The 13,259-nt window shown below is 35.9% G+C and overlaps 1 protein-coding gene across 12 annotated transcripts in view, besides 2 other annotated features; it reads right to left on the bottom strand.

Annotated features, from left to right (window-relative positions):
- FAT3 (FAT atypical cadherin 3) overlaps positions 1-13,259 on the bottom strand; it is a 671,656-nt gene that overhangs the window by 374,307 nt on the left and 284,090 nt on the right. The window lies entirely within an intron of this gene.
- Positions 10,708-11,208: an enhancer, noted in NCBI's record as "NANOG-H3K27ac hESC enhancer chr11:92244125-92244625 (GRCh37/hg19 assembly coordinates)". NCBI's record gives its function as "activates a minimal SCP1, AML or CMV promoter by ChIP-STARR-seq in primed H9 embryonic stem cells {active_cell/tissue: H9 hESC(primed)}" and the evidence as "EXISTENCE:reporter gene assay evidence [ECO:0000049][PMID:30033119]".
- Positions 11,209-11,709: an enhancer, noted in NCBI's record as "NANOG-H3K27ac hESC enhancer chr11:92243624-92244124 (GRCh37/hg19 assembly coordinates)". NCBI's record gives its function as "activates a minimal SCP1, AML or CMV promoter by ChIP-STARR-seq in primed H9 embryonic stem cells {active_cell/tissue: H9 hESC(primed)}" and the evidence as "EXISTENCE:reporter gene assay evidence [ECO:0000049][PMID:30033119]".

Raw genomic sequence — 13,259 nt, 5'->3', positions numbered from 1 at the left:
AGGTGTGAGCTGGGGTGAGGGATACAGGTAATGTAACACAAAATAAATGTTCTGCAGTCTCTGCAAGGCACCTCTTCACTGCCATGAGACCTGTCCATTCAGTTTACAGGCATCCACTGGACCCTGTGCTGCCATTGGAGGAACAGAGATAATGAGAGGGTCTCTGTCCTCAAAAGACTCCCAGTCCTTTGGAGAACACAGATCTTTATTAAGGAGATCTGTACTGAGGGGATAAATGCATACCCAACAGCCAGAAGGGCTAATCTGGTTTAGACCGATATACTAGGAAGACCAAAGACTCTAGAACCAGAAGGGGATGGGAGGCAGGGGAAATAGCATTTACTGAGGATCCATAATGTGCTGTGAGATCTGTAATTCAAATTCTCTATAATATAAACTTTATAATTATCTCTTAAAGATAAGGACACCATGTTGGTAACTTGCCCAAGGCTCCACAGCTAAATGTAGAAGAACCCTAGACTGTCTGCCTTGAATAACCCAGTTTCAAATCTGGAATCCTTCACTTTCTACCCAATTGACCATAGAGAAGATGTTCAACCCAAGCGAATCTTGTTTTCATACCCATCTCTCAGTGTTGTGGTAATCATTAAATGTACACCAAAAGTTTGGCAAAATGCGTGTGTGGCATAGCACATGCTGAGTACGTGTTAAATCTATGTGAACCAAAAGCAATACCATAGGCATTCTAAATGGTAATCACACCCTAAAGCAGGGGATAATCTTGAAAGGTAAGAAGTTGGGGATGAATTGTCATGCCAGATGTTTTTTCTTCTCTGGTCATGTGCCATTCTCACAGTCTTTGTGATTTGCCCATTACATAATTTTTTTGTGTGTGAAAGTATCTGGCCTTTTTGGGGAACATCAAAGTAAGGTCACTAAAAAGAGAACATAATTCAATAAGCAATAAAATCAAGGAAGTTTTTCAGTTTTATTTGTCACCTTGCCTGACTACCTGCCATGCCTACATTTCCACGTATGTGTGTGTGCACGCACACACACACACACCAAAGCACTTTCATATAGAGATTTGCAGTCACAAAATTGCTTTGCGATTCCTGGAAGTCACTAAATTATTTTCTTCCACTTGTCAAACAGGAAGATGGTATATCACAGCCTTTGGACATTAAAGGATTTTGAGAAGTCCTTAGATGAAATGCCTTCACTAATACAAATCAAAATACAAGGGTGGGATTTTACCTTATTTTACTCTTAATGAAGGATCAGACATTTTCCTTAAAAATTAGAATTCTCTCCTGTTAAAATAAAAGATGTATATGGCTATATTTACCAAGTAACTAGAAGTGTGAATGAGTATCTTGGAACACAATGTTCAGATGTCAATTTTATGATCCAAAAATTTGAGGACAAATTTTAAAAGGACTGAGTCTGAAATGTGTTAATTACTGAGTTTCATCCAAGACTCAATATTAATCATGCTAACACCACTGATGTCCAGTGATAGCATTTCTGCATACCTATCCTCTTATAGCTAATGATAGTCAACATAGTCACAGCTAAGAATGTAAATCCACATTACCTCTTTTATCAATCAAATCTCACTTTTAAGATTGACCAAGGAATGCCAAAATCACATCTTGAGGGCCCTTAACATTGTGACAACCACAATGCATTCTTTATTACTTTTTTTAAAAATTGAGGTATTTGGAATACAATAACCTGTCCATGTCTAAAACAAACAATTGGTAAGTTTTGATTTTCATGAAACCATCACCACAATCAAAACAACAAACATATCCATCATCCTCCAAAGTAGCCTCTTTCTCATTTTCAATCCCTTACTCTCAACTCTTTCTACCCCCAGGTAACCACAGATTACCTTTCTGTCATTATAAATAACTTTGTATTTTCTAGAATTTTATAGAACTTAAATAATATAGTCTGTACTGTTTTTCTGTTTTCGTTCACTCACAGTAATTATTTTGAGATTGATCCATGTTATTTTGTGTATAACAATAGTTAATTCCTTTTCATTTCTTAGTAATATTCCATTGTGTCGGTACAGCATTATTTTTTTAACCACTGACCAATTGGTGAATATTTGAGTTGCTTTCAGTTTTTAACCATTACAAATAAAGCTGCTAAGAACATGCATCTAAAAGTTTTATATGGAAGAATACTTCCATTACTCTTGAATAATAACTTAGGGGTAAGAATGACTATATCATAGGATAGACATATATTTGCACCATTTCACATTCCCACTGGCAGTGAATGTGGAGGGTTCCAGTTGCTCCACATCCCCACTTGTGGCTGACTTGGCATGGTCAGTGTCTCAAATGTAGATATTCTAATGGGTATACAATGGTATCTCATTGAAGTTTTCATTTGCATCTTTATGATGTTAAGCATCTTTAAAAGTGCTTATTTTTCACCTGAATATCTTCTCTAAGATAAAGAAGTTATCGTAGGTTAAGTGTTCAAATGTTTTGCCTATTTTTAAATTTGGGTTGTTTTCTTGAATTTCAAGAGTTCTTTATATATTCTGGATAAGAGTCTTTATCAGATAAGTGATTTGCTAACTTCCCCCCCAGTCTGTGGCTTTTCACTCTTATAATAGTAATGTTTGAAGGTAAAAATCTTATATTTTCATATACAATTTATCAATTTTTCTTTTATAGGTCATGTTTTGGTATTGTATCTTAGAAATCCTTGCCTAATCCAAAGTCATAAAAATTTTGTCCTGTGTTTTCTTCTGGTCTAATAGTCTTAGGTGTTGTATTTATATCTATGATCCATTTTGAGTTTTCTTTATGGTGAAAGATATAGATCTAAGTTTATTTTTTGTATGTAGATGTTCATTGTTCCAGCCCCATGTGTTGAAAAGACTCTTCTTTTTCCACTGAACTGCCTTTGCACCTGTGTCAAAAATCAATTGCTACATGTATGGGTCTATTTCTGGACTCTCCATTCTGTCCCATTAATCTGTTTGACTACCTTTATGCCAATATCACATTGTCTTGATTAATGTAGCTTTATAAATCTTGAAATCAGGAAGTGTAAGTCTTCCAACTTTGCTCTTTTCACAATTGTTTAGGCTAACCCAGGTGATTTGCATTTCTATATAAATTATAGAATCATCTTTAAAATCCATAAGACACTTAGGAAACCCACTAGGATTTTGATTGGAATTAGATTTAACCTATAAATCAATTTGGTAAGAACTGGCATCTTGACAGCTTTGAGTCTACTGATCCATAAAAATGGTATTTATCTTTATGTATTTGTCTTCTTTCATTTCTCTAAGGAATGCTTTATAGTTTCGGTATACAAAGCTTACATATCTTTTGTCAAATTTATCCCTAAACATTTCATGTTTTTGACATATTATAAAATGCATTATTTTTATTTTAATGTCAATTGTTTAATTTTAGTATATAAGTTACTGTTGATTTTTGTATGTTAATCTTGTATCCTACAACATTGTTAAACTTACTTATTAGTTCTAACCAATTTTTTTTTTTATTGTTATACTTTAAGTTCTGGGATACATGTGCAAAACGTGCAGGTTTGTTACATAGGTATACATGTGCCATGGTGATTTGCTGCACCCATTAACCTGTCATCTACATTAGGTATTTCACCTAATGCTATCTCTCCCCTAGCCCCCCACTCCTTGACAGGCCCTGGTGTGTGATGTTACCCTCCCTGTGTCCATGTGTTCTCATTGTTCAATTCCCACTTATGAGTGAGAACGTGCAGGGTCTGGTTTTCTGTTCTGTGTTAGTTTGCTGAGAATGATGGTTTCCAGCTTCATCCTATCTCTGCAAAAGACAGGAACTCATCCTTTTTATGGCTGCATAGTATTCCATGGTGTATATGTGTCACACGTTCTTTAACCAGTCTATCATTGATGGGCATTTGGGTTGGTTGCAAATCTTTGCTATTGTGAATAGTGCTGCAGTAAACATACGTGTGCATGAGTATTTATACCAGAATTATTTATAATCCTTTGGGTATATACACAGTAATGGGATTGCTGGGTAAAATGTATATGTCTAGTAAATTTCTTAGTAATATTTCTAGCATTATTTGGCTCACTGGATCTAGAACCTTGAGGAATCACCACACTGTCTTCCACAATGGTTGAACTAATTTACACTCCCACCAACAGTGTAAAAGCACTCCTATTTCTCCATATCCTCTCCAGCATCTGTTATTTCCTGACTTTTTAATGATTGTCATTCTAACTGGTGTGAGACTGTATCTCATTGTGGTTTTAATTTGCATTTCTCTAATGACCAGTGATGATGAGCTTGTTTTCATATGTTTGTTTGCCATATAAATGTCTTCTTTTGAGAAGTGTCTGTTCATATCCTTCACCCACTTTTTGATGGGGCTGTTTGTTTTTTTCCTTGTAAATTTAAGTTCCTTGTAGATTCTGGATATTAGCTCTTTGTCAGATGGATAGATGGCAAAAAGTTTCTCCCATTCTATAGGTTGCCTGTTCACTCTGACGACAGTTTCTTTTGCTGTGCAGAAGCTCTTTAGTTTAATTAGATCCCATTTGTCAATTTTGGCTTTTGTTGCCACTGTTTTTGGTGTTTTAGTCATGAAGTCTTTGCCCATGCCTATGTCCTGAATGGTATTGCCTAGGTTTTCTTCTAGGGTTTTTATGGTTTTAGGTCTTATATTTAAATCTTTAATTCATCTTGAGTTAATTTTTGTACAAGATGTAAGAAAGGGGTCCAGTTTCAGTTTTCTGCATATGGCTAGCCAGTTTTCCCAACACCATTTATTACATAGGGAATCTATGACTTGTTTTTGTCTGGTTTATCAAAGATCAGATGGTTGTAAATGTGTGGTTATTTCTGGGGCCTCTGTTCTGTCCCTTTGGTCTATATATTTGTTTTGGTATCAGTACCATGCTGTTTTGGTTACTGTAGCCTTGTAGTATAGTTTGAAGTCAGGTAGCGTGATGCCTCCAGCTTTGTTCTTTTTGCTTAGGGTTGTCTTGGCTATATGGGCTCTCTTTTGGTTCCATATGAAATTTAAAGTAGTTTTTTCCAATTCTTTGAAGAAAGTCAATGGTAGCTTGATGGGGATAGCATTGAATCTATAAATTTCTTTGGGCAGTATGGCCGTTTTCACGATATTTATTCTTCCTATCCATGAGCATGGAATGTTTTTCCATTTGTTTGTATCCTCTCTTATTTCCTTGGGCAGTGGTGTGTACTTCTCCTTGAAGAGGGCCTTCACATCCCTTGTCAGTTGTGTATTTTATTCTCTTTGTAGTAATTGTGAATGAATGTTCACTCATGATTTGGCTCTCTGTTTGTCTACTATTGGTGTATAGGAATGCTTGTGATTTTTGCACATTGGCTTTGTATCCTGAGACTTTGCTGAAGTTGCTTATCAGCTTAAGGAAATTTGGGGCTGAGACGACGGGGTTTTCTAAATATACAATCATGTCATTTGCAAACAGAGACAATTTGACTTCCTCTCTTCCTATTTGAATATCCTTTACTTCTTTCTTTTGCCTGATTGCTCTGGCCAGAACTTCCAATACTATGTTGAATAGGAGTGGTGAGAGAGGGCATCCTTGTCTTGTGTGGGTTTTCAAAGGGAATGCTTCTAGCTTTTGCCCATTCAGTATGATATTGGCTATGGGCTTGTCATAAATAGCTCTTATTATTTTGAGATATGTTCCCTCAATACCTAGTTTATTGGGTGTTTTTAGTATGAAGGGGTGTTTAATTTTATTGAAGGCCTTTTCTGCATCTATTGAGATAACCATGTGGTTTTTGTCGTAGGTTCTGTTTATGTGATGGCTTATGTTTATTGATTTGCATATGTTGAACCAGCCTTGCATCCCAGGGATGAAGCCGACTTGATCATGGTGGATACACTTTTTGATGTGCTGCTGGATTCAGTTTGCCAGTATTTTATTGAGGATTTTCACATTGATGTTCATCAGGGATATTGGCCTGAAATTTTCTTTTTTTGTTGTGTCTCTGCCAGGTTTTGGTATCAGGATTATGCTGGCCTCATAACATGAGTTAGGGAAGAGTCCCTCTTTTTCTATTGTTTGGAATAATTTCAGAAGGAATGGTACCAGCTTCTCTTTGTACCTTTGGTAGAATTTGACTGTGAATCTGTCTGATCCTGGGCTTTTTTGGGTTGGTAGGCTATTAATTACTGCCTCAATTTCAGAACTTGTTATTTGTCTATTCAGGGATTCAACTTCTTCCTGGTTTAGTCTTCTAACCAATTTTTTATAAATTCCATAGTTTTGTACATAGATGATCATATCATCTCCAAACAGAGACAGTATTACAACCACTATCATCACTATCATGACTTTCACACACATCACTATTTAATCATTGTGCACCTGGTATTTTGACAGGTACAATAAATTCAGTCTTCATTAATTCTTTAAAATCCCTCATTCATTCAACAAATATTTATTACTGTAAGCACTCATGAGGCAGTTACTGTATTTATCCCCATTTGACAGATAAAGAAACAGATATAGGTTAAGCAACTTGCCAGTGATCACTCATCCAGTAAATATAAAATTCTCTTCTCAAACTTTAGTTTGTCAGACTCAAGACCAGTTGTTAACAAAAACCATATTGTCTATTTAATCAATATTTATACAAAACCCAGATACAGTATCATATCCAAAGACATTTTTCCCCTCTGATAGAGAAGTGTCATTACTAAGCAAACATTATTTAATTAATATTTTACTTTCTTACTCATGTTTTCCATACCGAATGTAGAAATCATAAAAAGATACTTTTTGGTACATCTTGGTATATCTTTGTAGAATATAAATATTTTTAAAAAGCATTACTGACTCTCTTCAAAGAGAGTCTGTTTTTATTTATAAAGATAGGCAGAATATAAATGTCTGTGACATATTCATAACCCATTACCCAACACAGTCCTGGAGTATTCATCCCCAGAAAGGGGTCTCCTTCCATCTATCTGTTCATAGTGGGTTCTATAATGGCAGAGTTTCTGGCTGCCTGACATATAGTAGGCACTCAATAAGTGTATGTCCATGACACTGATTCAGCAGTAGGCTAGTTTATATCAATGAAGCGATTCATTAGCCTCCCTCAGACCTGGAAGAGACCTCAAAGAACACTAGATACAATTCTCCTAATGAAAGCATCCCTTCCACAACATCTCTGACCCAGAACCCAGACTCTGTTCCAAATCAGGTGATAGGATCCTCACCATTTACTGGGCAGTTTTAGCTAACACAAACTTCTTCACACTGAGACAAAAATTTGGTCTCTGTAATTTCAAAAGCGATTTATACCTATATTCCCATTCACATTTCAGAATAAAACAGAACAACTTTGCAAACAATCTTTCTTCTGTGACAGCTCTTTCAGTATCAAAAGATAACGATTTCTTTGCTGGGCTTTTCTTCTCCAGTCTAAGAATTCCTTCCTCGTGTGCCATATAGGTTCTTTGTTCACTCTGATCTCTGTCTCTGATTCAATAGGATAGGACCTCTGTCCATTCATAAGTGCATGCTGAGTGGGAGTAGAAATGAGTGATTAAGAACACCTCATTTAAAAAATAAACCATCTACAATGAGCTTCTAGCATGTTTCAGGTAGTACTGCTCAGTGAAAAGGACTCAAGTGAATATCCCAGACAGCAATGTATCCTATCCCTCACATTTTTACCTATCACTGAAATGCTCAAGGTGGATTATGTTGAGATGCTCAAATTTTACCCTGATGTTTATAAAAATGTCATTTTCAAAATTCATTAGAAATACAGTTTGGATTTTTTATGTTCTTTGTTTTTGAGGTATGCTTATGTTTACAAAATTGTTCTTTTCTGTTTTTATCTTTATTTGCTGTATAATAAAGGCAGGAGCAGACCCAAAATTCTCTGGGCATCTTAATATTTAAATGAATAAGTAGATACACAGAAAGTATTTATTTATTTGTATGTTTGTTTTGGCAGAACTGTGCACAGACTGAACTTTAATTATTTAATTCCAGCATGAAACACATATTTGTTTTAATTAATTTTTATTCACAAACAAGTATTAGAAAAAAATGTGTACATTGTGCTCACTGAATCAGTCCTAAATATTTGAGATGAAAGGGGAAATATATAAAGCTGTTCATAATTAGATAAATATTACATGCTAGGTTGTTTACCTTATCTACTTTCTAGCCATATCCCCATATGCCACATGCCAAGTCTAAAATGACATCTTGCTCCAAAAGAATGACACCCAAACACAACAGCTCCAAACAACCTATCAGCGTATGGATCAGGGAATGCTTTGGGGGTCATGTGTTTATAACATGGTAAAAATCATCCTGCTGGGATAATTATTAGAGACTCTGAGGCCATTAAAAACAATCTTAAAAAATACCTTGATGGCATATCTGTTGTATATGCTTCTAACAGAGTCTGTTCACTTGTGCATGATTCATTTAACGCTTATTTCTAATTATTGAAAATGTAAATTCTCAATTTTCAGTGCATTAAAGATTTTTTAGCTTCTTATTCTGAAATAATTATAAATTCATAGGAAGGTGCAAAGAAATATATAGAGAGTTCCCTGCACTGTTTACCTAATCTTTCCTAATATTAACATCTCAGTGCATTTTTAAATTGCTTATTTCTTCAAGAGTCAAACTCTTTAAACTAGATTTATTTCTGAGAGCACATGAAATTCTTTCATGGGCTCCATAACCACTTTTAGCCAACCCCATGCCTGCCTCTAGCAAGATCATACAGATACTATTTTTCTTTCTTGTTCTATTCATCCTTGGACCTGTATAAGATTCTTAATGCCTTCACAGAAATCATTGTTCAGCACAGTGTGTGGTAACAGTTAAGGAAGAATGGGCATTTTATCCTCATAGGCCCAACCAGGGTCACTCCACTCACTCCTATAGTCATATCTGTAATTGCTGTCAGTCTGAAATATATGGACACAGCTGAAACAAATTGAAATGGCATGAACAGAGATTAGTAGAGAAATTGTGGGTGGAGATAATCTTTTTTTTTTTTTTTTGAGACGGAGTCTAGCTCTGTCGCCCAGGCTGGAGTGCAGTGGCGCGATCTCGGCTCACTGCAAGCTCCGCCTCCCGGGTTCACGCCATTCTCCTGCCTCAGCCTCCCGAGTAGCTGGGACTACAGGCGCCCGCTACCACGCCCGGCTAATTTTTTGTATTTTTAGTAGAGACGGGGTTTCACCGTGTTAGCCAGGATGGTCTCGATCTCCTGACCTCGTGATCCGCCCGCCTCGGCCTCCCAAAGTGCTGGGATTACAGGCGTGAGCCACCGCGCCCGGCCGATAATCTTAACTTAGATGTTTATAATGCTTCAAATACATTTTAGTGTGTTAAATACAATTTGCAGAAAGTCACTGGTTTGGACTGAGTTCCTGCACCAGGCCCAAAAGATCAAACCAAAATGGAGTCACTCATGTTAAGTTCCATGCCACCAAGCCAACACTAAGTTGTTTATCTGACCTTCCAAGAAATCAAGATATATATATATTTTAAATATATATATTTTAATATTATACATTAAAACATATTTAATATATAAAAATTTAAAATATAATTTATATATATTTATATATATAAATTTAAAATATAATTTATATATATTTATATATATTTTTTTTTGAGATATAAAACAGGGCAGTTTTAGCTAGCATGATAAGAAAGTCCCCTTTGCTTTAACCTTTACTAGGAAAGTCATTTTGAAACAATCAATCTGCTTTTTGTTCCAGTTCTGTTCTCCTTAGCCCTTTTCTGTCTATAAAGCCACCCTCCTCTGCTCAGCTCATCAAAGCACCCATTCTATTTTAGAGAATGAGGTGGTGCCTGATTCTAGAATCACAAATAAAAGGCAGTTAAGATCTTTAAATTTGTTGTGATTTTGTCTTTTGGCAACTCTGTCTATATTATATGTGCATATATTTTTATATACTTTATATGTCACATATTAAGATATATAACATACTTAAATGTATACTTCAATGCACTTTTTTTAAATTGGGGATTTTAAGTGAATTGCCCAGCTAATCAAGTGGCAAAGTCAGGCCTGGAATGTGGCACACTGAATAGAAGTCACACATTCTTTTCATTACATGAGGTATGCTGCTGATCTATCCACGTGTGTCCATTATCATGAAAAAGAAGGCAATTCCAAGTTCTTGTGCTCCTCACAGTGGGTTAGTATCAGCTCTTTGGTAATAGGAAATTCAATGATTTTATTACTTTCCTCAATTTCTAAAATTTGCTGAAATGTATTATTTTGAATTCAATATTATATGTTCTCTGAAGATTTTCAGATGTTGGATTGGTCTGGAACCAGGCAAATTGGAGGGCCAACTCTTCCTTTAATATCCATCACTCCTTTGCTTTTGTGCACATCTGCTCAGGCTGCTCCTTCAATCCATCTCCACAAATGGCCTCCTTTGCTCCTCAACCCTCAAGGAGGATTCAAAGAGCACTGTCACCCAGCCAGCCATCCAGGGTGGGGGCTGACCCCTCCTGCCTTTTATCTTAGCACTTTATTTCTGTCCCTCTACCATCCTACTGTGAGCTCCCCACTAGTAAGAAACATTTTGATTTGCTTTTCTCTATCCTATGATGGTGGCTAGAAATTTGGAACACTATAAAAATGTGGAATAAGTAAATGAAGGATAACATCATAACATTTGGTAAATTTAGCCAAGTTGGAATGTCTGGTTCTTTAAAGACAAGCTCCCCCTATGAATAAGAGCATTTGGAAACAAAAAAAAAAGAAGAGTCAACCAGATATTTTGTTATCCTGTGATCACCGGACAAAATAAAATGTGGATAGAATAAGCTTATAGTCAATTTCAGACTTCTTTAACGCATATGAAGAAGTGATAATTCAAGCTCTGAATTTCAACTCTCCATCTGTGAATTATCCTAAGTAATAAGACAATTTTCTTAAAATTATGCCCAGTTTTGGGTTTTCCCTTTGCTACCTAGAACGCAAATGGAGTCATGATAATATCCTCAAGCCTAGAAGCAAAGACATAGTTTGATGAAGGCATTAGCTGATTTTATCATGCACTTAAATGGTGCCCTGCCCACAGGTACACACTGCAGGCTGCCAGAATCAGTGCCTTCAGGCCCCAGATAAAGCGCCAGCAAGGCGCTCTAGATGGGCTCTCATCCACAGATTTGCCTCCACCCTGGACACTTTTGTTCTACTCTGTTCCCTCCTCCTCATGAGGATGCCCATTGATTAGGCATCTTTCATCTTTGCAGAAGGAGAAGAAAAACCCACAACACAGTTGTTGAGAGCAATTATGCACTGAAATGCAAGCCGCCTTCAGTGCCTGTTACTTCTCAAGGCTGTAAGTTGGAGAGCTGCAAGGAAGATTAAGGCAAAGGGCTTCAGGCTGAATTCAAGCTTTTATTTGGAGTTAATGAAAATGGACAGCTCTCCTTGTCTGTTTGGGACTCAGGAATTCTAAAACTTAGCTGCATGCTCAAAAGCCTCCTTGGCCATGATGTTCTGTAGGTTCAGAAAACACATACTTGCTTCTTGAAGTTTTCAAGATAAACTTTTCAGGACCCATTTTTATAGGATTCCAAATGCACACCTCTTCTCTCTATAAAAACTCTTGTCTGTGTAGTTGGCACCAGGCACCAACAGCTTGAAGACAGGAAGCCAAAAGAGTACCAAGCTGGGAGTGACATGTACAGCTTGCACTCTGTTTTTCTCTCCTATAACTTAGATGATTCCCAGCCTCAAATCCTTTCTCTGGTGGGTGCTAATTTGCATAACCACCATACACAGCACAATGGTATAGATTCATACACACAGAAAGAAAGGAAGGTTGAAACCTAGAGCAATGGAAAAAACACCCTCAGAGAATATATGAAATGAAGTCGAGACATGGCTTGTGTGAAGTGACTGAAAACGTGGAGGTTGTAACATGAAGTGTGGTCACTGGATTCTATTTCTTGAGAAGAAGAAATGGACATAAACTTCAGCACAACAGATTTCAGTTAGATATCTAGAAATATTTTCTGACGATAATGGTCAGTGAACACAGAAATAGCTATCTGAAGGAAGCTGAAGTTTATTTCTATTCTTGCTTCAGAGATAGATACATAGATAAACAGACAAGCAGATAGGTAGAAGATAGATGAATCTTTTGAACAGCAGAAACTTTTGGAGCATTCAAACTAATTACTAGGCAAATCTCTGCATTTAAAAAATCAACACTTCACTGTAGAAGAAAATATGAAATATAAATATGTTTTTAAAGTGCTGATTATGTCATGATCCAGAGATAATAACTGTTGGTGTCTTTGTTGCATTGCCTTTGTTCTATATTATTTTCACCCCAAAGCAGTATATTTATCTGTAGTTTTATTTAGGTGCAAAAGTAACTGCAGTTTTTACCATTCCTTAATATATTCTCACCATTGTACATGGAACATCTTTCCGCATTAATAACTTTAGTTCTATGACTCATTTTTAATGACTGTAGTGATGTCCACTTGCCCACTAGTCCAATAACACACTAAAATGTAAACTATGTGTAAGAATGTTCTCTCCTCCATCACTGCCATATACCCTAGAAGAGTGTCTAGCACACACACATGAGGTGCTCAATAAATATTGGCTGAAATATTCATGTGATGTTTACCATTTACTTAATGAAGTCCACTCTTGCTAGGTCACTTATTAGGTCATTTTAAAATTTTTCACTATTATAACTCATGTTTAGATGAATAAACTTGTATCCCTATCTTTTTTCAATTACTCTTTAGGATAAGTTCACAAAAGTAGAATTGACAGGTCAAAGGAGATACACATTTTTAAATGCATTTGACTAAATTGCCTTCCAGAAAGATTGTGTCAATTATATTTTAACCAGCAGTTTCAGATCACATTTTGATTAAATCGTTATAAGATTTGCATTATTTGTTGGGAAAAAACACAAAAATTAAAAATACTATCATTTACCATGTAGAGAGATAATAACTGATTTCATAAATTAACATCCTTAAACTGCTCCTTTTTGTATTTTGATAATTTTACTCAAGGACAAAATTCCATGATGTTTAGTAAGATAAAACATCATTGATGTTGATGTTGATAGAAAGATAGTGCTGAAAATTCTGCTGAGAAGATTTTGCATGAGGCATAATTTAAATTAAAATTTGTCCACAAAACTTTGAATTCTTCAGCCTTGAAAAGTGTTGTGGGATTTTTAAATAAAAT

The sequence above is a fragment of the Homo sapiens genome, chromosome 11 (genome assembly GCF_000001405.40).
Source record: "Homo sapiens chromosome 11, GRCh38.p14 Primary Assembly".
NCBI classification, from domain to species: domain Eukaryota; kingdom Metazoa; phylum Chordata; class Mammalia; order Primates; family Hominidae; genus Homo; species Homo sapiens.
This window is presented reverse-complemented; position numbering and strand designations above follow the sequence as displayed.